General features: G+C 54.0%; 1 protein-coding gene across 1 annotated transcript, besides 5 other annotated features; it reads left to right on the plus strand.

The window, feature by feature from the left end:
* Window positions 883–1,878: an enhancer, noted in NCBI's record as "H3K27ac-H3K4me1 hESC enhancer chr20:31594895-31595890 (GRCh37/hg19 assembly coordinates)". NCBI's record gives its function as "activates a minimal SCP1, AML or CMV promoter by ChIP-STARR-seq in naive H9 embryonic stem cells {active_cell/tissue: H9 hESC(naive)}" and the evidence as "EXISTENCE:reporter gene assay evidence [ECO:0000049][PMID:30033119]".
* On the plus strand, window positions 1,498–17,497 carry BPIFB2 (BPI fold containing family B member 2). The gene is made up of 16 exons (NM_025227.3): window positions 1,498–1,554; window positions 2,335–2,477; window positions 4,818–4,911; window positions 6,597–6,701; window positions 7,604–7,750; window positions 9,230–9,290; window positions 10,836–10,896; window positions 12,053–12,144; window positions 12,431–12,616; window positions 12,856–12,909; window positions 13,374–13,544; window positions 14,122–14,189; window positions 14,336–14,381; window positions 15,075–15,138; window positions 15,517–15,593; window positions 17,136–17,497. Exons 2-16 carry the CDS (start codon window positions 2,369–2,371, stop codon window positions 17,175–17,177), a joined length of 1,377 nt encoding a protein of 458 aa, NP_079503.1. The 5' UTR covers window positions 1,498–1,554; window positions 2,335–2,368; the 3' UTR covers window positions 17,178–17,497.
* Window positions 1,879–2,873: an enhancer, noted in NCBI's record as "H3K27ac-H3K4me1 hESC enhancer chr20:31595891-31596885 (GRCh37/hg19 assembly coordinates)". NCBI's record gives its function as "activates a minimal SCP1, AML or CMV promoter by ChIP-STARR-seq in primed H9 embryonic stem cells {active_cell/tissue: H9 hESC(primed)}" and the evidence as "EXISTENCE:reporter gene assay evidence [ECO:0000049][PMID:30033119]".
* Window positions 7,752–8,316: an enhancer, noted in NCBI's record as "NANOG-H3K4me1 hESC enhancer chr20:31601764-31602328 (GRCh37/hg19 assembly coordinates)". NCBI's record gives its function as "activates a minimal SCP1, AML or CMV promoter by ChIP-STARR-seq in naive and primed H9 embryonic stem cells {active_cell/tissue: H9 hESC(naive and primed)}" and the evidence as "EXISTENCE:reporter gene assay evidence [ECO:0000049][PMID:30033119]".
* Window positions 8,317–8,882: an enhancer, noted in NCBI's record as "NANOG-H3K4me1 hESC enhancer chr20:31602329-31602894 (GRCh37/hg19 assembly coordinates)". NCBI's record gives its function as "activates a minimal SCP1, AML or CMV promoter by ChIP-STARR-seq in naive and primed H9 embryonic stem cells {active_cell/tissue: H9 hESC(naive and primed)}" and the evidence as "EXISTENCE:reporter gene assay evidence [ECO:0000049][PMID:30033119]".
* Window positions 11,949–12,544: an enhancer, noted in NCBI's record as "H3K4me1 hESC enhancer chr20:31605961-31606556 (GRCh37/hg19 assembly coordinates)". NCBI's record gives its function as "activates a minimal SCP1, AML or CMV promoter by ChIP-STARR-seq in primed H9 embryonic stem cells {active_cell/tissue: H9 hESC(primed)}" and the evidence as "EXISTENCE:reporter gene assay evidence [ECO:0000049][PMID:30033119]".

Consider the following 23,445-nt stretch of genomic DNA (forward strand, 5'->3'; position numbering starts at 1 on the left):
GCGCCTCTGTCCACTGAGTCTGCTGTTTGCATCAGCTATGGTGAGGGCGCAGGAGGGGCCGGTCTTGGGCATTGGTGGACAGACCAAGGCCAGGAGCAGGGTGTCAGGGAGCTCACAGCAGGCTCTTCTCATTCCTCTTTGCGTCTAGAATAGGGGCAAGGGAGCACTGGTTGGGAGGCAGGGCTGGTTCAAGTGAGCTCCAGCTGCTCAGGGGAGGGCTTGATGGTGTCTGTGGTCAGCTTTGTAGACACTGGTGGAGGCCTAGCACAGGGTGGGCCTGGGAGCTGGGCCTGATATTTGGGCTGGTGTGGGGTCAGTGGGAGTCAAAGAGTGCCCTGGAGTTGGGGAAAGGCCCCAAGTCATCCTGTGCCAATGAAGAAAAATGGAAAGGCCATCGCCTGCTGTGCACACATATATGCACACACACAAGAACATATATACATGTACCTCCCCATCCCAGGAAACAGTCCACTTGCATACACACATGCACCTAACACCACACACTCACAGACCCACAAACACTCAGTAGGCCAAGCCCACACATGCATACATGTACACAAAACTCCCCACCTCTGTGGTCCTGTTGGATTGTGTGAATAGACACACAACACCATAAACCAAGATGCCAACGTGCCCATTTCATGTCCACACTCACACATAAGAGCACACATTTTCCCCGTACATGTGACTATGCACACACACTCACATGCATGTATCAACACAACCCTCATCCACACATGTGCATATGCAAATTCCTTCATGCGCACACACAGTTCCTTGGGTCCCATCCAGCCAAGGCGGAGGCTGACGTTTGTAATGTGGAAAGAGACCGTGGACTAATCCATTGTGAGTGGAATGTGCATTTGGAGAGAGGCTGGGATGTTAAGCTGTGGGGACAGGTCACGCACACTTTCTCTTCTGTTCCCTTCTGAGTTAGGGCTCAGTTTGTGACTGGGATCAGGGCTCAGCATGTGATCAGGGTCAGAGCTCAGTAACTGGGGTCAGGACTCAGTGTGTGAATATGTGACAGGGTCAGGGCTCAGTCAATGACTGAGGATGGTGCTCAGGTAGCCTTCTGCCCCTCCTAAAAGGGTCATGTTTCCGAGAGAGCTTGGAGGTACCAGGCTTGAGGGGTCATTGCAGCCATCCCCTTGCCTATGGGAGGGGGGATGGGGTCCTCATGGGCCCCATCCTCCCAGGCCTTGGCTGGGCATGATAAGATACCCTCCTAGAAGCAGCTTTCCTTCCAGAGATCTCCTGGCCCTCACTAAGGCCATAGCTGCCTAGCCCCAGGGGCTTGTAGTGGTTGGGAGCTGGGCCTGGCTACTGGCTACGTGGCAGCCCCAGCGCACATGTGGGATGAGACACTTTGGCAAAGGCCATGTTTGCAGGGAAAACACTTGCAACCACAAGCAAACTCGCCGCTCCCTGGGTCCCTTCCCAGTGGACTCTGCACATTGGGAGCCTTATAAAGTAGCCTCTGCATCTGCCTGCCTCGGGCAGAGGAGGGCTACCCTGGGGCTGAGAGTTCACCTGTCTCAGGAACCACCTGAGGTAGGCATGGGGCTGGGCTGGTACACCACTTCCAAGGAGGCTTGGCTTCTCTATCTGTTCAGTGGGGATGCTACCTCCAGCCACCCTCTGCAGAAGGGTCCTTCCACCCCTGGCCTTGCTGTAGGACCTGGGCAAGTGCCGCCATCCTGGGTCTCAGCAGACCCACCTGAGCCGCAGTCCCTCACTCCTGCCTGGCTCCCTCTCCCTGAGTCAGACACAGATCTGCCTATTTGGCCAGACTGAGTCAGGAGAGGATGGGGGCCATGTGAGAGGCCTACTCTTAGGCCATTTACCACCTGGCCAGGAGGGGATGAGGACAGGAGCCACCCTGGGTCCTCCCCTGGCTGAATTTGGTGGACAGCTGGACACCAAGCTGGCTGTCACACGGGGCTGGACTCCGGCATCAGGTGATACAGTCCTGGGCATCTTCTTGGGACAGGAAACTACCCTCAGTCTCCCCGTTTGGGAGTCTCACCATCCTTCTATGCCATGGCTTGGGTCCTGCACCTGGTCCCAGTCCACTGTGTGGCCCTAGGCAAGACCATTTCTTCTCTGGGCATTGCGGGTCATTTCCAGAAGGGACTCCCCCATGATTCCTGATGAAGCAAGCAAGGCAAGGTGATGGTTCCCAATGCAGAGATGCAAAAACTGATGTCTGTGGGCCTGGGGCAGGGCTGGGATCACCAGTCAGGGCTTGTTCCCTCCAGGCTGGAGTGGGGTTCGGGTGGCTCAGGGGTGGGCTGTTTTGGCTGAGCTCCCTGATGCTCATTTCTACCCCAGCCCACAGATCCTGTGGGCAGCGGCCAGGGCAGCCATGGCTTGGGCAAGTAGGCTGGGCCTGCTGCTGGCACTGCTGCTGCCCGTGGTCGGTGCCTCCACGCCAGGCACCGTGGTCCGACTCAACAAGGCAGCATTGAGCTACGGTAAGCGGTGTGTTACCCAGTGAGTGTCTGTGAGCCTGTACATGCGTGTGCAATCCTAAGTGTGTGTGCGTAGCTGTGAACTCAAAAGGCCCATGAGGACCCAGATTTTAATTGGAAGTTGTGTCCCTGGCACCCAGACAGTGCCTGACACATGGCGCTGCTCAACAAATGCTTATTACATAAATGCGTGAGGGGGGAGTACGTCATGTGGCCAGTGTGCAAGTGTGCACATGTGACTTGCTCACATGCTTTGGTGATGTGGGCATAGGTCGGTTTGAGGGGCTATTTTTACCTGTGTGTGTCTACTTATGAGTTTGAAATTTCATAGAGCTGTGCCCACGTGTGTACTTAAGTGTCGGGGAGGGTGCAAGCCCATGATGCTGCCTGGATGTGTGTGCACAGGTACGGCTGTTCACCCTGGGTGTACACGTTTGCGTATGTGGTGTGTGCACGCACGTGTGTTCTTGGGAGAGGTCTGTCTAGCACCGTGATGCAAGGAGTGTTCTAAAGTTATATCCCTTCTGAGCTCAGCGTGAGAGAACCATCCGCTCTCTGGGTCCCACTTGTGCGAGGGCTCTGTCTTACGGCTGTGCTGCTAGATCCTTCCAAGTCTTGCCCCAATCCCCTAAGGAGGGCACAATGAAGAAACTTAGCCCCAGGGAGGGACAGACATTGCCAAGGTCCAGGACGCCAGCACAAACATGTTTATTCACCTCGAGTTGCCTCCCGGTGAGAATTTGGTTTCCCACCAAAGCCAGGAGATCAGAAGCGGTTTCCCCCAAGGCCAAACTCAGATTACAGTGTGAGAAAGTCAGGTCAGACAGTAGATGGGACCTTCAGTGGCCCAGGACATGAAGCAGTGGCTCAGGGAAGTAGCAGGTTTCCCCCACCCCTGGGTAAACACAGCCTTCCGGGACCTCATATCCGGGCTGATGGGCAGGCAATGAAAGGGGTCAGTGATCCGTGCCAGAGCATGACATGGAGCCATTCATGGATGCCTGCAGGTAGGGCCATGAGGCCCGCGCCCTCCGCCGCCTTCCTGCCCTCTGCCCATCCTGTGCAAGCCTCCTTTGTCCCCAGGGAGCCCTCCCCAGCTTGCCTGCCTGTGTTTGTTTTTGGCAGAAATCTGGCTGGAGGCCCACGCTGGACGCATTGCTCCCCAGGCTGGGCTGAGTGGCTACTTCCAGTGTCCTCCCCACCCCATCCTGCAAGCCCCAGAGTTCAAACCCTGCGTCAAGGGAGCACTGTAGATGGAGTCTGAGGTCTGGGTGTGAGTTCCAGCTCAGCTGCAGATGGTTAGGTGGGAGAGGGGTGCTGGGAAACATGGAAACCACCGCCTTTATGCTTCTTGTTGGGGGAGACTAAGAACCAGAGAGGTGCAGGGACTCCTCAAGTTCCCACAGTGAGTCTGAGCAGTGGGCAGGCCTCTTGACTCCTCATTTGAAGCTCCCTTCCAGCACCATCACCTCTTATTCTAATTCAACTCCTGCTTAATTAGCACCTCTCTGGGGCTCAGCAGCACAGGTGAGTGAGGATGCCCAGAGGCTCGGGAGCCAGGTCCCTCGGTCCAAAGCCAGCTTTCCCTGGCCAGGTGCCCTCACCTCTCTGTAAACTGGGCACGATAACAGGAAAAGTAAAGCACTCAGAACAGGGCCTGGCACTACAGGATCACAACATAAACGATTGCCGCTATTATTACAAAAATAAATAGCAATGGTAGAAGCTAGCATTTGCTGTGCACTGAGTGTTTACAATGATCCTATGTGACAGATACCATTAGAATCATTGCAGATGTATAGATGGGGAAACTGAGGCACAGAGTAGCCACACAGGCAGTGAGTAGCAGTGAGCACTGCGGTTTGAAACCAGGATCTGAGAGACTCTTGAGTCCTCAGCCCCCAGGTGAGGCTGTCCCCTCCCCTCCCAAGGGACGTCCCCTCTGCTCCCATGGGCGCCTCCACAGCAGGCCAGGGATGACTGGGAGATGCCCCTTCTGCTTGGGAACTTAGGGAAGGCTCCCAGAGGAGATGGGATCTGGTTGGAACCTTGCAAGAGGGCAAAGGATTTTGTTGCTTTTGAAGGACGGGGTAAATCAGCAGGATTTTGAGAGGCAGAGTGGGAGAAGGAGGTCATGCCCAGGTGGAGAGAGCCTGATGCGAGTGGTGCACCCAAGGTGGGCTCATGGGGAGTCAGCTGCCCTCCCCATATGCTTGGAGTAAGCCTACCCCTTCCAGTCTGAGTACCCTCTGCCCAAGGTGCAGGGTAGATGGCAGGCAGTGTGTTCTTGCTACTTGGTGGTTCCCGAGGGCACCCTGACCTCACTCTACCCTGGCCCCACAGTGTCTGAAATTGGGAAAGCCCCTCTCCAGCGGGCCCTGCAGGTCACTGTCCCTCATTTCCTGGACTGGAGTGGAGAGGCGCTTCAGCCCACCAGGTGAGTGCTCCCCTCCTCCAGAGAAGGTGCTCCTGCCACCAAGTGGAGTGTTCCTGCTTGCCAGGTGGGTGCTTCAGTCCACCGGGCATGTGCTCCTGCCTGCTGGGCAGATGCTCCTATCCACGGGGCAAAGTGTTCCAGTCCACCAGATGAGCACTCTCCACTGAAGGTGAGTGCTCCCTCCCACAAGGTGAGTGGTCACAAGATGATTTAAGAGAGGGACCCAAGATGGAGAAGCCGGGCCTGGTGCCTCTGAATTAGTGAATTTCTGCCCTCAAGGGCTAAGAGTGGCTCCTGGGTCCCCAGGGCTGGCAGGACCCTCTGTTTCTAGAAACTGGATACTGAATTTAGACACGAATCTGAGCCTCCTTTACCTCCACCCTACTCTGCTTAATGCAGAAACTAAAGGCATAGGGATGTGGAGCATCCCAAACTTAGACACCCCTGGGCTGGTCAACAGTCACCTTCCACATAGGAACTAGGGCTCACTACTGTCAGATCTTTGGGTTTCCAAGAGAAGATATACATCTAGAATCCATCAAATTTGGAATGATAGCAACTAATGAAAAAACATTTAAAGCCCAGGCGCAGTGGTCCACGCCTGTAATCCCAGCACTTTGGGAGGCCGAGGTGGGTGGATCACCTGAGATCAGGAGTTCAAGACCAGCCTGGCTAACATGGTGAAACCCCATCTCAACTAAAAATACAAAAATTAGCTGGGAGTGGTGGCGTGTGCCTGTAATCCCAGCTACTCAGGAGGCTGAGGTGGGAGAATCTCTTGAACCTGGGAGGCAGAGGTTGCAGTGAGCCAAGATTGTGCCATTGTACTCCAGCCTGGACGACAAGAATGAAACTCTGTCTCAAAACAAAAAAACAAAAACAAAAACAAACAAACAAACAAAAAATATTTAAGACTTTAAGACCCTGGAACAATGGGTGGATGGTGAAAAAAACATCTGGCTTGGGGGCCACCAGTTTGAGATCCCTTAGGAAGAGCTGAAATGCAGTTCATGGCATGGTTAATAAAGGTGGAGAACTGGACATAAATACCCAGCGACCAAAGATGCCTAAATCACTTGTGGTCTGGCCACACAATGGACACCATGGGGCTGTTTGAAAACAGTGCCCGGGGCTCTTGTTTGTAGACACAGGATTGAACCCAGGATTGTTGAGTGCACAGACGCAGCTTCTGTACGGGGACCTGAACTGTACAGTGCAGAAATGACTTTCATTTAGGAAATAAAATAAATCACAGGTTAGCTGGAGAGTGCTTGGAGCTTTGAAGTGGGGGAGCTTCTGTTGCTGTAGGCTACGAGCTGCAGACATTGACTAGGATACCAGAGAGAGGATTTCTGCCTTCTGTGGTTCCTGAAGTTTTTCTTTTCCAACCTTCCCAACTTTCCAGGCAGGGGTCGGAAACTGTCAAAAACCTGAGCAATCATCTCACCCAAGTCCTGCCCGAAGCGGGGGCCCCTCTGCATGTTCTCCCTACCAGCTGGTGTCCAACCTTGGTTTGCATGCCCCGTGGTGATGGAGAACTCACCATCTTCCCCTTACCTCATGGTTCCAATTGTCAGAAAGCCCTTCTTTATAACATCGTGTGGGTATGGCTCAGAGCACCCACCCCAGAGTTGATCCCATGGTTTAATGGGGGCCACTCTGTCACCTTGATTACTACCCTGCAGGATCCGGATTCTGAATGTCCATGTGCCCCGCCTCCACCTGAAATTCATTGCTGGTTTCGGAGTGCGCCTGCTGGCAGCAGCTAATTTTACTTTCAAGGTCTTTCGGTGAGCGGATCTCCTTGTTAGGGGGTGAGAAGGGTTTTGGGGATGCTCCGAGGGATACAGTGAGGGGACGGGGGGTAGCAACTCCTCCAGGGCCCTCATCCAGGCCTCTTGACTCTCTGTCCAGTTGCTCTCTCTCCCCTCACGCTTGGAGGGGAGCAAGATAGTGAGAACATTTCTGAGAACCCTGCTCAACAGCTCTGCAACTGGGCAGAGTCACTTGGCTTGTTTACCCCCTCAGCTTCCTCATCTGTAAAATGGGATGAACTTCTGTAAAGTGCCAATGACGGTTTGGTGAATGGGTTCATTGCTGTGATTATAATGACTGTCCTCTCTTTCCCAGGGCAAGGCACATGAGAGACGCTCAATAAGCATAACGATCAGAGTTATTTTTGTGTGCCTGGCATCTTGTATGTTACTGCATTTAATTTTCACACCATGAGCTGTGCAGTCAGAGGGGTCTCTTATCTAGCTTCTCTACCCTGACACTATGATTTTATGATTGCTTCCTGTGGGCCAGGCTCTGTGCTGGGTGTTTTCACATGATTATCTCACAGGAAACTCAGCACAGCCCTGCGAAATAGGTCCCACCAACCTTATGTCCATTTTACAGAAGAGGAAACTGAGGCTCAGCATGGTAAATGACTGGCCCAGGGTCTCACAGTGAGAGGCTCCGGACAGCCAGTGCTCACACCCACTGCTGCAACGTCTATGACCCCAAGTGGAGTCTTGAGGCTGGGGGCTGTGGGCCTGCCCCAGGTAGGGCCATCTCACTCTGGGAGTGGGGGGCCTGCCTGGGCCAAGTGGAGGGCAGGCAGGGGCTGGGGAATTTGTAAGATCTATCATCAGTCATGGTGGGCTCTGCTGGGCGGTGCTGCTCGGGCTCAGGACTGGCATCCCTACAGCGCCCCAGAGCCCCTGGAGCTGACGCTGCCTGTGGAACTGCTGGCTGACACCCGCGTGACCCAGAGCTCCATCAGGACCCCTGTGGTCAGCATCTCTGCCTGCTCTTTATTCTCGGGCCACGCCAACGAGTTTGATGGCAGTAACAGGTGGGTGCCTGGTGAGGGCAGGGTCACAGGAATCCCAGATGCCAAAGCTGTGCTGCTGTTTCCTGAGCTGCCCACTCAGGACTTTAACCAATGGCCACAAGGGCCTCAGGGGCCCCCATTATTGTGCTTGTTTTATGTCGGAGGACACTGAGGCTCAGAGAGGGGGAGAGGCATGCCTGAGGTCACACAGCAAGTGAGCGGCCAGAGCCTGGGACCTTTCCATCCCCTGCACCACTTGACAATACACACTAGCTATTAGCACACTCTTTGGGGAGGGATTTTGGGTGGATCAGACTGGCTGTGAGGACCTCGGAGACCCACCCCTCCTAGCAGAGATGAGGGAAAGGAAGCCAGGGAGGGCCTGGGACCCACCAATAGCCAGCTCTCGCAGGCCAGGCCGCTCCCTTCTGCATAAAGGCTGATGGCAGCTCCCGCCTCCAGAGCACTTATGTGTGCTGAGCATTGTTCAGGCCCTTTCCATAGATCATTTCGTTTGATCCTCACAGTATCCTACCAGGTAGGTGTTAAGTATTTCCTGCATTTTACAGGAGCGCAAATGGAGGCCCAGAGCAGTTAAGTGACTTGCCTAAGGCCACCGGCTGACAAATGGTGTAACCACATTCAGGCCCAGGCAGCCCGACTAATCCCATGGCTTGCAAATCCCCCTAGACGATGTCTGCACCTTCCCAATGTGAGCGGGGCTTGCTGAGGTGTTGAGCATCTTGGAGGCTTAGAAGAATGCAACGTATGCATCAAGACTGAGCTTTCTCCCCAGAGAGGGATGTGGCTGCGTAAACCCATTCACACTTGTGTCGCATGATCACCACGTGTGACTCACGACCCCTCACTGTCCTTACAGGCAGGGGATGCTCACAGCTTATTGAAGGGGAAATGGAAGCCCAGAGGCTTTGGGAACACAGAGGCCACCCTCCCACCTCCCCCCCAGGGAGCTGGTTCAGCAAGGTTGGGCTGTGGCTTGGATCGACATTTTTGCAAATCAAGGAACTATAGGTGCCTATGGAGCACTGTTGAGTTGTTTAGAGGGGAAACGGAGGCCCAGAGTCAGGAAGGGATTTTATTAGGTGTGTCACAGAAAATTGGACCCAAAGCATGAAGCAGACCCAGGATCCCAGCTCTACCCCCTAACCCAACCTTTACTGGGCTTAGAGTGGCCACGAAGCCAGCTGGCCAAGGTCATGGCCAAGTCTGGCTTTTGCAACGCCCTCTCTGTCTCACGCGCCACATTCTTGGCCATTTCCAAACCTTGAGATAAATGACCCTCTCTTTTGAGACTCAATTTCCTCATCTATGGGGCCAGTTATGCCAGCACTGTGTCTGGCAGATGGCAGGGCATCGAATGGAATTGATTGGCCTCCTGGCTGAGGATAGAGACTTCTCTTCCCAGACGTGCGACTGTGCTGAGTGACGGGACTTAATATGTTTGGGAGCCCAGGAACTCTTTCTGTGTTTCTCCCTCAGCACCTCCCACGCGCTGCTGGTCCTGGTGCAGAAGCACATTAAAGCTGTCTTGAGTAACAAGGTAAAGGGCTTGCAGATTTCTCAGAAAGGAGGGCATGGCTTCACCGAGAAGGCACAGTGAAGAAAGAGTGGGATTTCAGGCAGGGGGTACTTTGCTTGGGATTAAAAAAAAAAAAAAGACGCCCCTTCATGGTCCCCATGAAGGCAGGGAAAAGGCTGGTGCCAGGTCCAGGGGAGTGATGGGGAGGCACAAATGAGGGCAGAGTTTATGGGGTTGGAGGGGAGGGGGAGGTTCATCCTCTTAGGGCAGCCCCAATTTCATGCTAGAGGGTGGATGGAGTGGGGTTCATGGGCCTGTGGTTTGTGAAAAGAAGACAGAACGAGAGTGAACGAGGGTGTGGGCATGGGGCCACCTGTGGCCTGGACGGGTCCTGGTCCTTTCCAGATGTGCAGTCTCTGCTCCTGGTTCCACATCTGTACTGAAAGAGACAAAGCCCCTCCTCCGTGGGGTGGTTGCAGGCATGAAATGCATTAACATTTCAGAAGAGTTCGGGACAGTGGTTGGCAGAGTGGGTGCTGCTATTATTATTACTATTTTAGCTCTTGTCATTGTCTGCGTGGAGCTGACTTGGTGAGAGAGGGTAGCCCAGGGGCTAGGGTCCCACTGCCCAGGGGGAGCTCATTTTCTCTCTGCCCTATCCCATCCCAACCCCACTACTGCTTTAAGGGGCAGTAGTAGAGACGAAGTCAACCTCCTGCATGCCACCCCACACCCCCCAGAGGGCGACTGCAACATGCCCACCTTACAGATGAGAAAACCGAGGCTCGAGGGGTGAAGGTGGGGCAGCTCCTCTTGAGAGTCCTGCGGGATGCCCAAGTGGACAGCTTAACTTTGTCTGTTGGTCCAGCCTCTTCCTCTCCCTGTAGTCCCCCTGCTGCCCTCATAGCCAGCCTCTTCTGGGCAAGGGGCTTCAGGCAGCACTGCAGGAAGGAAGACCCACCCTCTCCTCTTCCTCTCGACCTCGCCCTGCCCAGTCTCGCCAGCTCTTGCCTGGTTAAGGCTGCGAGTGCCCCTGGCCTTGCAGTTCCTCCTCTGCCCCCATCTTCTATCACACTGATCCCAACATAATGTACTTCTCTGGCTGCCCATGGTGCCCAGGGAAAACCTCTGTAGCTCCCTGGCCTGGCATCTGAAGCTTGGCCTGGTCTGGCTTGCTGATCACTGCCTGCCTCTGCATGGGCACCACCCTCTCACCAGCTGAGCTTCAAGACTGAGCTCTCAGCCCCGTTGCAGCAGATTCCCTGCCTCCGTTGCTCAGGCCCAGCTACGACCACCTGGGCTGGGCTCCACGGCCTCTGTTCTTTCTTCCGTGCCTGGGGACCTATGCTCACACTGCCATCAGCCTTTGGGTTGCTTCTCCTCTGTTTCTTCGGTGCCTGGAAGGGGTCCCAGGAGATGCCCACTGGCGGGTGGAGGAAGGGATTCCAGGCATGGTGTATGGGTTGGGGAGGCTTCTAGACAGGGACTCTAGACCCCTCTCAGCCTTGTGCCCTCCAGCCCCAGGGCTGCCCTAACCCCAGCCTCCTTCTCTCTGTCTTACCACAGCTGTGCCTGAGCATCTCCAACCTGGTGCAGGGTGTCAATGTCCACCTGGGCACCTTAATTGGTAAGATCTGGGAGCCAGGGGAGGGGGCTGGGGCCTCTGGGACCCCCTGGAGCCCCTAGAACCCTCCAAAGGCTCCACTCTGGATCACGGTCGACCTCTAGGAGAGTCAGTTGTAGGGTGACTGAATTGTGAGCTCCCAAAACAGTGTAATTATTCATGAAATCTGGGAATCTCCAAATTCTAGAACCAAAACCAAGTCTTTGATTCTAGAATCTGTGTATCTTAGATCAAAAAATCTGAAAAACAAAATACAATTTTGAAATCATGAGTCTTAACATTGGAGAATCCAAGGACCATTGACACTTAGAATCTGGAATCATTCTAGAATCTAGACTCATCATTCCAAAGACCAGCTCTTGCCTCGGCCTCCCAAAGTGCTGGGATCACAGGCATGAGCCACCACCCCTGGCCTCGCCCTTTGAAACTTCCCTGCAAGAGTATTCTGAGGCTCAGAGGAGTTGGGCTCTGAGCCATGCCTCCCTGAAGGCTGCTCGGAGGGTCTGTTAGGGAAGCTGGACTTCTGTGATCTTGCATAACTGGCCCCAGTGGTGTGTGCTCTTGGAGTTCTCATAGGAGACAGTGTGATGAGGTGGGAAGAGCATAGCTTTGGGGTCAGACTGACCAGGTATTACAATCCTGGGCAAGACTGAACCTCACCAGACTGCGTGTGCGTGTGTGCGTACGTGTGAGTGTGCATGTGTGCATACGTGTGTATAAAATAACCCTACAGGATTGTAACGAGGATTGAATGAGATGCTGTAAGTCAAGCATCTGGACCTTGATAAGTGAGAGTTCTCTTCTTTTTCTGTGGTTGCTTCTCACCTTTGTCAGGGGATATTTGTGCCTGGACTGGGCCCTTCTCCTTCCTTCTAACTTGGGGTCACTAGTCTCCCACCAAGGGGGAAAGCAGAAAGCATACCTGTTAGAATTGTGCCTAAACTAAGAGTCAGCAGGCTGTGAGTAGCTCAATCCTGGCCATGTGCACTTTGCCACTTAAATTTGCTTATTCAGAGGCTTGCTCTGCCTCTTTTGTTTCGTGGCCTGGCTCTGGCTAATCAGGGTAATCAGACAATAAATAAACTTTTCTGGATAGATGAAACGTTGGTGAGCAGTGCTAAATATGCCATCTTTTCTTCTCTACCCTGGTTTCATGAAGGCCTCAACCCCGTGGGTCCTGAGTCCCAGATCCGCTATTCCATGGTCAGTGTGCCCACTGTCACCAGTGACTACATTTCCCTGGAAGTCAATGTAAGTGCCTCCTGGCCAGCCCAGAGCTGGGGGCTTGCTGCCTCTGGAGTCCTTGGTGTTCCAGAAGATTCCTAAAGGAGCGGGGGAGTGGGAAAGGAGAGGAGGAGCTGGAATAGTGTCCCAGCCGGGAGCATGCCACACAGGCGAAAGTGTGAACTACACATGTGGCATCTTGCAGGGGCTGGGGGGCAGGGAGTGGCATCTAGGAGTCCAGGTTCTGCCATGGAGCCACCTCCGTGCTGAGGCCCTGCTGCTTTTCTCCCACTTCCCCCTCCCACCCCTACAGGCTGTTCTCTTCCTGCTGGGCAAGCCCATCATCCTGCCCACGGATGCCACCCCTTTTGTGTTGCCAAGGCATGTGGGTACCGAGGGCTCCATGGCCACCGTGGGCCTCTCCCAGCAGCTGTTTGACTCTGCGCTCCTGCTGCTGCAGAAGGCCGGTGCCCTCAACCTGGACATCACAGGGCAGCTGGTGAGGGCCCGACCTGCAGCCCAGGGCCTGTGGGGCAAGAGCTCCCTGTGGCCCAGCCTAGGGAGACCTCCCAGAGGCCAAATCATGGGTGGGTGGGGCCGCTGAAGCTGGCGCCACAGGGTGGCTGTTGGAAGGGTTAAACGGGGGCTATGGGGAGCGATTGCTCAGGGGGAAAGTGGTGATCTGTCTTGGGGAGCAGCTGTCCTAAAACCTGTTGTGGCCTGGGGTGCTGATTTCAGAGGTCGGATGACAACCTGCTGAACACCTCTGCTCTGGGCCGGCTCATCCCGGAGGTCGGTGATGTTTCTGATCATTCCAGGGACTGAGACAAGGGACTGGGGTGGGGGTTCTCTGGGTCATGGGATCTCTGCTGGCTCTTATCTGTCCCAAGTGAAGTTCAGCATCTGTCCTTAAACCTACTCCTCCATCTTGGGGAGGCTCTAACTTCTGCCCAGACATCACACTCTGTCTCTCTGTGCCTTTGCTTGAGCAGTGTCTGCTGTTTGGAATGTCTTTCTCCTCCCTTTCCCTTATCCTTCTTCAAGACCAAGCTCAAGGTCACCTCCTCGGGGAGATCCAACCCCCTCGTCTTGTCCAGCGGCCTGTAAGACCCACTGGCTTACACAGAGGGGGGACCCACCTCTGTGCCCAGTCACATACAGCGCCATGGTGGCCCAATCAGCATTTGAGGAGTGACTGACCAGAGAGCCCGCCAGCCGCTGCCTCAGCAGGGCCTCCTCCGCCTCTGCCTCCCCAGGTGGCCCGCCAGTTTCCCGAGCCCATGCCTGTGGTGCTCAAGGTGCGGCTGGGTGCCACACCTGTGGCCATGCTCCACACAAACAACGCCACCCTGCGGCTGCAGCCCTTCGTGGAGGTCCTGGCCACAGCCTCCAACTCGGCTTTCCAGTCCCTCTTCTCCCTGGATGTGGTGAGTGCGGTGGGGCTGGTCGGAAGGCAGGCAACTGTCACAGAGACCTCCCTCCCTGCTTCACTGTCCCCTCATCTTTGCTCTACTCACACTATTGTCTTCGCTGTTCCTTGAATGTGTCAGGACACTCCCGCCCCAGGACCTTTGCATGTGCTGAGCCCTCGGCCTAGGACTCTCCCACCCTGGCTCTTGGCATGGCCAGCTCCCCCTCCTCTTCCAGGCCTCAGCTTAAATGTTGCAGCCTTCCTGGTCTACCCTGAGTAAGAAGGTCCCCATCAGCCTTCTCGGCACCTCCTCTCTGCATTTGTGGCCCCTGCCACTCTCTGAAAGGATGGCGCCTGGTTACTGTGGTTACGGTCCCCCTCTCCCACAGCTGGCGGCTCGTTCCCAGGGCAGGGAGCTGGTCTGCCTTGTTCACACTGTGTTGTTGCCAACATTCAGCGTGGGGCCTGGCACATAGCAGGGGCTCCACAGACACCTGCTGCCTGAATGAGTCGGGGGATGGGTGGGAGGCTGGGTGGCTGGTGCCCCCCTCATGGCTCTGTGCCCTCTGACCCTGCTCTCCCCATGTGCCCAGGTAGTGAACTTGAGACTCCAGCTCTCTGTGTCCAAGGTGAAGCTTCAGGGGACCACGTCTGTGCTGGGGTAAACGAGCCCACCTGGACCCAGCAGCCTCAGTGTGTTCTTCTGTGCCATGGGTCCATCACCACCCTGGGTCACGGTGTTAGCCAGGGAGCCTGGGCGTAGGGAGGTGCCAGACCCTGTCCTGAATTCTCCTGCTTCTCTTTCAGGGATGTCCAGCTCACGGTGGCCTCCTCCAACGTGGGCTTCATTGATGTGAGTGTGGGGCTGGGGCCTCTAGAAACCCCCGTCCTGGGTAGGGCACACCTTGAGCCTGGGGAAGAGATGGCTGTGTACATGTGCTGACCCGTGTGCCTGTGTGTGCCACTATAGTCAGGCTTCCCCGGGCTGCTTGGGGACAGTGGCCAGTCAGTCCATCTGCCTGATACTCTGCCTGGCAGTCGATGACTTGTCACCCAGCCCTCACCCCAAAAGTCCATTGGTCAGTTGGACAAAGAATGTCAGCTGTCCCTTCAGCCAGGTGATGTGATTGGGTCATCGGCCACCATACATCCACTTGTCAGCCGGCATGCCATCAACATGCCCCCCTTCTACCCAGCCGTCAGTCTGTCTGTCTGTCGGTCATCTGCGTCAGGCAGTCTGCTGGCCAGTCCACCTGTTGGTCACACAGTGCGTGAGTGTCCACAGTCAGTGCCTGTCCCTCAGCCTCCACTCCGGTGAGCACTGCTGCTGGGTGTGATCCTGCGAAGGCTGAGCCAACCATGGGGGTATTTCTGGGCCCCACTTGAACCCAGGACATGGGTGATCTGCCTTCCTCCCTGTGCCTCAGCCTCTGCCATCCATCTGTTGTCTGTCTGTCTCTGTGTATATTTATGTATGTGCCTGACTGTCCATCTCTCCTGGCCCCTCGGCTGGGACGGGCCCATCTCCCTGGCTCCGTGGCCACAGACAGATCAGGTGCGCACACTGATGGGCACCGTTTTTGAGAAGCCCCTGCTGGACCATCTCAATGGTAAGCCCTGCCCTCCACCCCAGCAGGGCCCCTCTGGCCCCCTCCATATCCCACATCTGCTCGGTGCTCAATCCCAGCCCCCTTCCCACCTCCCAGGCTCACAGGGTGAGAGGGGGCCTCTGGAGTCTAGCAGCCCATGTGTGCATGCCCCTTGGCACATATCTGTGTAGCAGCTGTGTGATCTTCACCAAGCAGCTGTGTGATCTTCACCAAGTTCCTTTTTCTCTCTGAGCCCCAGCTTCCCCTTCTGTAAAAGGGGTATAACAATAATGGCATCCATCTTCCAGATGCCTGCGAGGACTCAGTGCTGTGATGCACATGAGGGCTTCAGCACAGGCTGGCTCCAGGGGACGATCCTTTCTTCTTTCTCGCCTGCAGCTCTCTTGGCCATGGGAATTGCCCTCCCTGGTGTGGTCAACCTCCACTATGTCGCCCCTGAGATCTTTGTCTATGAGGTGAGAGCCTTTGGGTGTGACCAGAGGGGCCTCCTTCACTCAGAGGGACTGATTGAGGTGGGGGTCACCTCTCTCCCTCCCCCTCTGTGGCTGCCAAAACCATGCCATGAATCCTTAACTGCAATGAAATGAAAAGTCCAGGATGCCAAGAGATGCTGGGTCAAAGGTTTCACCCTTCCTTTAGTCCTCATAAAATATCACACCAGACCACACTCGGACAATTGGGGCCTTCACTTGTCCCGTGATCCTGTGCCCTGGAATGGGCACAACCCCTTTGATATCTGGAGCAGATGACAGTGGGACTCCTTCCACTTTGTAGACAAACTGTGCAGGCTGGATGGGAGTAGGGAACTTCCTGAACTTTCTAAAATTGCTTTCCCTGGACCTGAAATTGTGGGCCCAGGGTGAGCTTCAGTCACAACACTGCCCAGGGTGAGATGCGACAGCTGCTTTCTTCTGTACCTGGGATATAAAAGGAAATTCAGTCAGCAAGACATGCCTAGGACAGAAAGCTGAACCCAGGTCTCTCAAGCCCAATGTCTCACGTGCTGTTCATACCCGATGAGTGTGACCTGCTGATGTAATTCCAGGGAGGATGCCCTTGTTCCTTAAGAACTACTCTCTCAAGGCACTTGGGTGATTATCCGCCCCCATGAGAAGGAACGATTGGTACACAGAGGAGCAGGGCTCTGTGGGGATTTCCCTAGGACTTCCCAAAACAGGCAGTTAGTGGCTGACCCACCTTGGCACTTGACCCAGCCACTGGGTCAGAGGTGAAAAGTCCCTAGTCCAGTACTGTTACCAATGGAACTTTCTGCAAGGATGGAAATTTATACTGTCCAAAGCAGCAGCCATGATAAGCCACAGGTACATGTGGCTACTGAGCACTGAAATGTGGCTAGTGCAACTGTGGACCTGAATTTTTTATTTTGTTTCATTTTAATGAATTTCCATGTAATTAGCCATAGGACTAATTAATTAGCCATAGCCACTAATTGTGGCTGCCTTATTGGACCACAGAGCCCTAGGCTACGAGCTACACTGGGGCAGGAACTGGGTCTGGCTTGTTCTCTGCTGGCTCCCCAGCACCTGCCACAGGGCTTGGCTTATAGTAGAGGCTTGATGAAGATTTACTGAATGAATGAATGAATGATCGGCAGCCCTCCAGAATGCTCCTGCAGTGGAGTGTAGCATAGGGGAGCTATGGGGGGTGCCTGAGTCTGCTGGAGAGAGTTGGACTTGGAGAAGATGCTCCATGGTTCTGGGCTCCCATTCATAAAGCATCAGTGGTATCCACCATCGGAGCAGCAACCAGTGCCTTCCATGGGGGTCTCACTGCATCCTCACAGTGACCTTGTGAGGTGGAGGCTGTTACTACCCCCAAAGTGACAGACTGGTAAACTGAGGCCCAGAGAGGCAAAGGACTCTCCTCACAACCCACAGCAAGAATGGCAGAGCAGAACTCAGAGCCAGGCTGAGGGGGCGGCTGGGGTCCTGCCTGTGCCTCCTCTGACCTGGTCCATGGTTTCCTTTGCCCTTCAGGGCTACGTGGTGATATCCAGTGGACTCTTCTACCAGAGCTGAGGCAAGACCACTGGGAGGCCTGAGAGTGGGCCAGCTCGCTGCTCAGGCGAATTTCTCATTTCAAGCCACTGGGGAAACTGAGGCAAAACCATACTTAGTCATCACCAACAAGCTGGACTGCTTAGCTGGGCTGTTTTATCTTCCCTGAGTGCCTGGGTCTCCCTCCCTCACTTCTGCCCTTTCCCTTCCTCCTCCTCTTCTCCTCCCTCTTCCCTCATCTCCCCCCTCCTTCCTCTGCCCCACCCCAGCGGGGAGCAGACTGCTCCTCCAGGCTGTATAGACCTGCCCTCTTGCATTAAACAACTTCTCTTGAGCTGCAACTTTCAGCCAAGCCCAGCAACCTCTTTGCATACCTAAGGCCAGTTCCCTACATGCAGTCTCCAGGTTCTGTCTGTCCCTGGAGCCACCAACGCTGCCTGGGAGAAGAAGAAGACATAACCACATCTCTGTTGATGACATCTCTGTTGATGACATCCATTGACTGTGTCACCTCTTTGCCTGGGGGAGCTCCTGTTTTGAAAGAGGACCCTGGAGAGCCGCATGGATGAGCCTGAAGTTAGAGCACCATGGTGGCACTTTGGGCACAGTGCCCCTTGCCTGGCAGCTTGCCCCGTCTTGTAACTAGAACCTCATAGGAGCCCCATGAATCAGGCAGGCAGAGACTGGAGTTCCATTTTATGGATGTGGGGACTAAGGTCCACTGAGGAGGGGAATGCACGGTGCCTCAGAGCTGGATGGTGACATGACCTTCCTTCAATCCAGACATGAGATGTCTGGTTCCCTCTGCCATTCTCCGGCTCCCAGAGCTGGACCTTGTCCCTGAGTCATGAACTTCAGGTGATGGGGAGTTCATTGCTCTTCTAGGCAGCTTCTCCATCTTTGGTTTCTCTGCCTTTGGTTTTACGAGCAAGTTTTTTGTTCTAAGGAGGCAGCATCTGCTTCCTGGGCCTCTGCCCTTCTGGTCACACTGAACATGTCTAACCCCTTTAGCCTCTGAATGCCCTTCACACCCAGTGAATCACACAGAACAAGATGACCTAGGGAACACCAAGGGATGTAAATGCTGGCAAGTCAAAGCCATGTGATTTTCTACCCCTGATAAGCTAATCTCTTAGCCAGAGATAGGATTCCTTCCTGCCTAGATATATGGTGTTTATGTTCTGTTTATGTTTCCTTTGGGGAGTAAAAGGTGCCTCAATTTTTACCACCAGTAAGCAAAGCCTTTGGCACGGTGTGACCCTAGCCACTCTTCCTGTGAGGGTTCAGGTTCATTCCTAAAGTTTCCAGCATGAGAGATCGAAGGTACTGGACCAAGCCCAGAGTCTTGGTGGTGGAGAACAGGTTGGGGGTGGTACTGAGAGAGTGGCAAGGGGCAGGTTGGAAAATCCACCCCCATGATTTTGCTCAGGACAATGTGACTCGTATTTCATTTGGTTATTTGGTTAATTAATTCACTCATCCTACTTTTATTGAGGGTTAAAATAGGCTGAGCTCTAGAAGTGAGGGAGGGAGACCCAGGCACTCAGAGTGGTCTGCAGTATGAGAGAGACAAAAAACTTAAGACAGAGCCATAGTCCATAAAGGAAGTTAATAACCTAGGAAAAGATTATGAGCTCAATATGTCAGTCCAGTGATCCATCTATCTATCCATCCATCCATCTATCCATCCATCCATCCATCCACCCACCCACCAATCAATCTATGTAACCATCCATCCATTTATCGATCATCCATCCATCCACCCATGCATCCACCTACTCACTACCCATCAATCCATATAACCATCCATACATTTGTTCATCCATCCATCCATCCACCCACCCATCAATCCGTATAACCATCCATCCATTTGTCCATCATCCATTCATCCATCCATCTACTCACTACCCATCAATCCATATAACCATTCATCCATTTGTTCATCATCCATCCATTCACCCATGCATCCACCTACGCACTACCGATCAATCCATATAACCATCCATCCATTCGTTCATCCATCCATCCATCCACCCACCCATCAATCCATATAACCATCCATCCATTTGTCGTCCATCATCCATTCATTCATCCATCCATCTACTCACTATCCATCAATCCATATAACTATTCATCCATTTGTTCATCATCCATCCATCCATCCATGCATCCACCTACTCACTACTGATCAATCCATATAACCATCCATCCATTTGTTCATCTATCCATTCATCCACCCACCCATCAATCCATATAACCATCCATCCATTTGTCCATCATCCATCCATCCATCTACTCACTACCCATCAATTCATATAACCATTCATCCATTTGTTCATCATCCATCCATCCATCCATCCATCCGTCCGTCCGTCCGTCCATCCATCCATCCGTCTGCCCATTTATTCAGTCATTTTTTCCAACCAGCCAGGCTTTGTTTGTACCCATGATGTACCTATTTCAATAATATATGTTCTTTTAGGTGAAGGGGGGATGAAAATGCCTCAGTCAAGCTCCTTGCCCAGAAGGAAGATGGTGGTCTGTCCAAAGAGAGTTGCCCTCATCCTAAGGGACACCCTTTGGTCATTCAGTTAGGTGCCTGCTGGGCTCTGGCTGCTGAGAGGGACAGATGGGTGTAGCAGTTTGAGTCCAGTTAGAAGATAGAAACCACACAGGAGCTCAAACAGGGGAAGTTTAATATGAAGAGTTATTAACTATGATAAAAGAGTCACTGCAAGACATAAGGAAACTCTATATGGTCCTCTAGGGCTGAGGGAGAGTACCCAAGGAAAGACAAACTCGGAAGGGCTTCAGGCGTTATTGGAGAAGGCATTGCTCAGCCTAGTGGATAGCACAGATGTTGGCTGGTGTGGCCAGGTTGGAGATGGCCTCAGCTGGCCTAGAGTTGCTAGAGTTGCTGGGCAAACAACAGGAAACTAAGACCTTGGGATCCAGTGTGCAAGCAGCATGGGGTGACGAAAGAGGGGAGCTCTGGGGTGTGGCTTGCACATGGAGCAGCTCAGGGTGTGGCTTTCTGGACTACAGGCGACTGGATAGAGGTAACGTGGGGCTACTTATGGAGGAGTCTGGGCACTGGCATGGGCAAGAGGCCTTCAGAGGGGTTGGGCCAGATGGGTGGGGGCATGGAGAGTAGTTCTGATTTCTGTTTGGAAGGGCTGGCCCCAGGCTGAGGTTGCAAGTTTGCAGAGGGATTGAGTTCTGGACCCATGGCTGGGATAGGCTTCACCTGCACACACTCACACAGCCAACTCCAACCCACATTGGAAACTGCAGGAAGCCTCTTCCTCTTGTACTGCCCTCTCCTAAGAAAGGTTGACATCATGCTCACTTTAAAGGAGAAATACTTAAGTGAGTCCCATTGCTTATCATGGAACATACACTGAAGGGTGCTTTTGGAGCTGAGAGGCAGTAATAAATTGCTAACTGACACAGTGGGGCAGAGGAGAAAAGGACCGTGTTTTCCCAGGTCAGGTGCCTTTGCAAATCTCTCACTTGTCCACTTGCATGGCCACTCTTTGCCCTGAATGTCTACCCTGCATATTTCCTCGCTAGGCTCTTTGCCCAACATGGGATGTCTTTACCGGAGCCTGTCTACCCCAACGCAGCAGCTCAGATGCAGTCTCCCCTGGCCACAGCATGGGGTGACCTACCTGCCTGGTTTCAGTCTCCAAACCCCTCCTCCTCAATCACTGTGTTGCCCTTTGATTGCACACCATGGTTATTGGTGTCCATGACTTCCTTCCCCACCGCACCTCCCTGACCCTTCCCAGAGCCCAGAGTACAACAAATGCATAATAAATGTGTGGTGAGCGAGCTGTTTGCACACATACATGGTGGAGCTCTGGCCCAGGCTTGCCTCAACCCTAAGCCCTGGGCAGGCCATGTGGAAAGCCCCATCCTCATAGGCAGGTGGGGGCTGCTAGACTTGGAGTCCCCTGTGTTGGGTCCCCAGAGGGTCAGTGGGGAAGGGAAAAGATGACACTGAGCTTCAGGACTGGCCCAGTCTCTAGCGTCTGAGAGTTAGAGAGGAAAGGAGGCTAGGGAAGGCTCCCTGGAGGAAGGAGCCTCAGCTCGTCCTGGAAGCATGGCTGAATTTAGAGCTGGGGTAGGGAGGGCATCATAAGGAGCCAGGCAGGGCGATTCTGGGGCCCGGAGGAAGAGAGGAGCCCTGTTGAGTATGCCTTGGCAGGTGTTGGCCTGGGCTCTGGAGCCCTTGGATCCACATTCAACCCCTAGCTGTGCCATTCACTTGCTGTATGACCTTGGGCAAATGACTCAACCTCTCTGAGCCTTAGTTTCTCTAGCTATAAAATGGGGAAAATTGCTGAAGTGCCTGCCTCATAGGGTAGTTCTGAGGATTAAATGGGTAAGTGTAAATAAACACTTAGCGTGATGCCTGGTACAGGGGGAATGCACAGTAAATGGGTCCTACTGTTATTGTCAGCAGCATAGAGTTCTACCCTCTCATCCATCATAAAGAGGATTAAACAGAAGTGGCCCAGAGAGGTTGAGGGAGCTGCCCAAGGCCACACAGCTTGTGAGGGAAGTGGCTGGGACTGGTGTTCAGGTCCCTAAACCCATTCAAGGGGCTTCTCCTCTTTCACCCACCCCATGTCCTTTCTGCTCTCCACCCCAAATATGCTCTGCCCTGGTGGGAGGCAGGGAGAGCCAGGCAACTGCAGTCAAGGTGCACTGGGGTGGATTTGTGGGTGGTGAGAGAGGATGCAAGGCCTGCCTCTCTGTTGGGGGCAGGTCAGCAGGGATAAGACGATGCTATCTGTGGATCTGGCTCCTGCACCTCAGGGCCTGGATCAGAGTAGAGACTATCTGGCCACCCTGGGTCCTGCTCTTGCTCTTTCCAGCCTGGCTTCAGCCGCGGCATGTGACCTCGGGCAGGCCCTCACTCCCCTCTGGCCTCAGTGGCCCCAGATGCACACGAGCACAGTGGCTTCCTCCATCTTCCTGGACGTGTGGAGTCCGTGTGGGGTGGGAAAGGAAAACCCCAGGCCCCCAGCAGCCTCCCGGGGACTGTTCCTCAAGCACAAAATCCCTCAAGGGGCCTCTGAGCCAAGCCTCCCCAAGAAGCTCATGATGGGCAGAACAGAGGCTGGAAACCCCAAGGCCCGGTCCCAGGTCTGTGGCCGGCTCCCTCTGTGCCTCTGAAGTCACCTCCGCCTTCATTTCTCCCAGATTTGGACCTTGAGAGAAAGCACCCCTCCACCTGGTACTGCATGGTAGCATCTTCAGGGGGTCCCTTTGAAGACACCTTACTTGGCCATTAGCTCCTTGTGTCCCCTGTGAATGAACCTTGGGGGACACAAGCCCCAGTGGGCTTAGCCAGCATCTCCTAAGCCTTGTGCACTTGCTGGCCCCTGCCTGAAACACCTTGCCCCTGTATTGCAGAGCTGGTTTTGCTCACCCCCTGGCATCAGCTCCAACAACCCTTGCTCACAGGTCTCCAGGTTCTGATGATCACCCTGTTCTTTCATCTCTGTCCCATCTCTCTGGTTTAGTGGCTCTCATCACCCTTGCCTCCCTCGAGAACGATAGGCTTTGTGGTTGTTGACCTGCACAGTGCCCGTCTCCCCCTTTGGCCTCCAAGATCTCTCTCAGGGCAGGAATCCCAACTGCCTGTTCACTGCACAGGCGTGGCACACAGTAGGTGCTCAATAAATGTTTCTTGAAGAAACAAATGCATGTCCTCTGTGTGCCCAGACTTGTGGGAGGTGCTGGGTCTAGGAAAAGGGACAGTGTGAGCACTGATGGTCCCTTGGGCAGCCACATCCTGCCCCTGGTACCCGCCCTCATGTGGCCACCAGGATTCCCAGCCACTCTTGTCTTCCATACTATTTACATTGGAACAGACTGAAACGTCACGTGAGCAATAGGGCTCCTGTTCTTCAAGCCTCTAGATAATTATCTGGGCCTTATTAAGCCCTTAATTATTCCAAGCCACTAATCAGGCTCCCGAATATAAGGGCTTCTTCAGCTCAGGGTCACGAGGCAGGGGTCAGTCATCTGCAGAACTTCCCTAAGCTCAGCAAGGTAAGGACAGTCCCCCAACTGTGGAATTCTCCCCAGAGAGTGTCTTTTCCAGCTTTGTCATTTTACAGATGAGAAAACTGAGGCCCAGAGAGGGGAAGAGACTTGCCTGAGGTCACACAGTAAATGGGTGGCAGGGCCAGGGCTTGGATCTATGTCCTGACCCCCATCCAGTGCTTCCCACCTCACAGGTGATCACTAGGCATTGCAATTTTCCGATGCTGTA

The sequence above is a fragment of the Homo sapiens genome, chromosome 20, assembly GCF_000001405.40.
Source record: "Homo sapiens chromosome 20, GRCh38.p14 Primary Assembly".
NCBI lineage: Eukaryota > Metazoa > Chordata > Mammalia > Primates > Hominidae > Homo > Homo sapiens.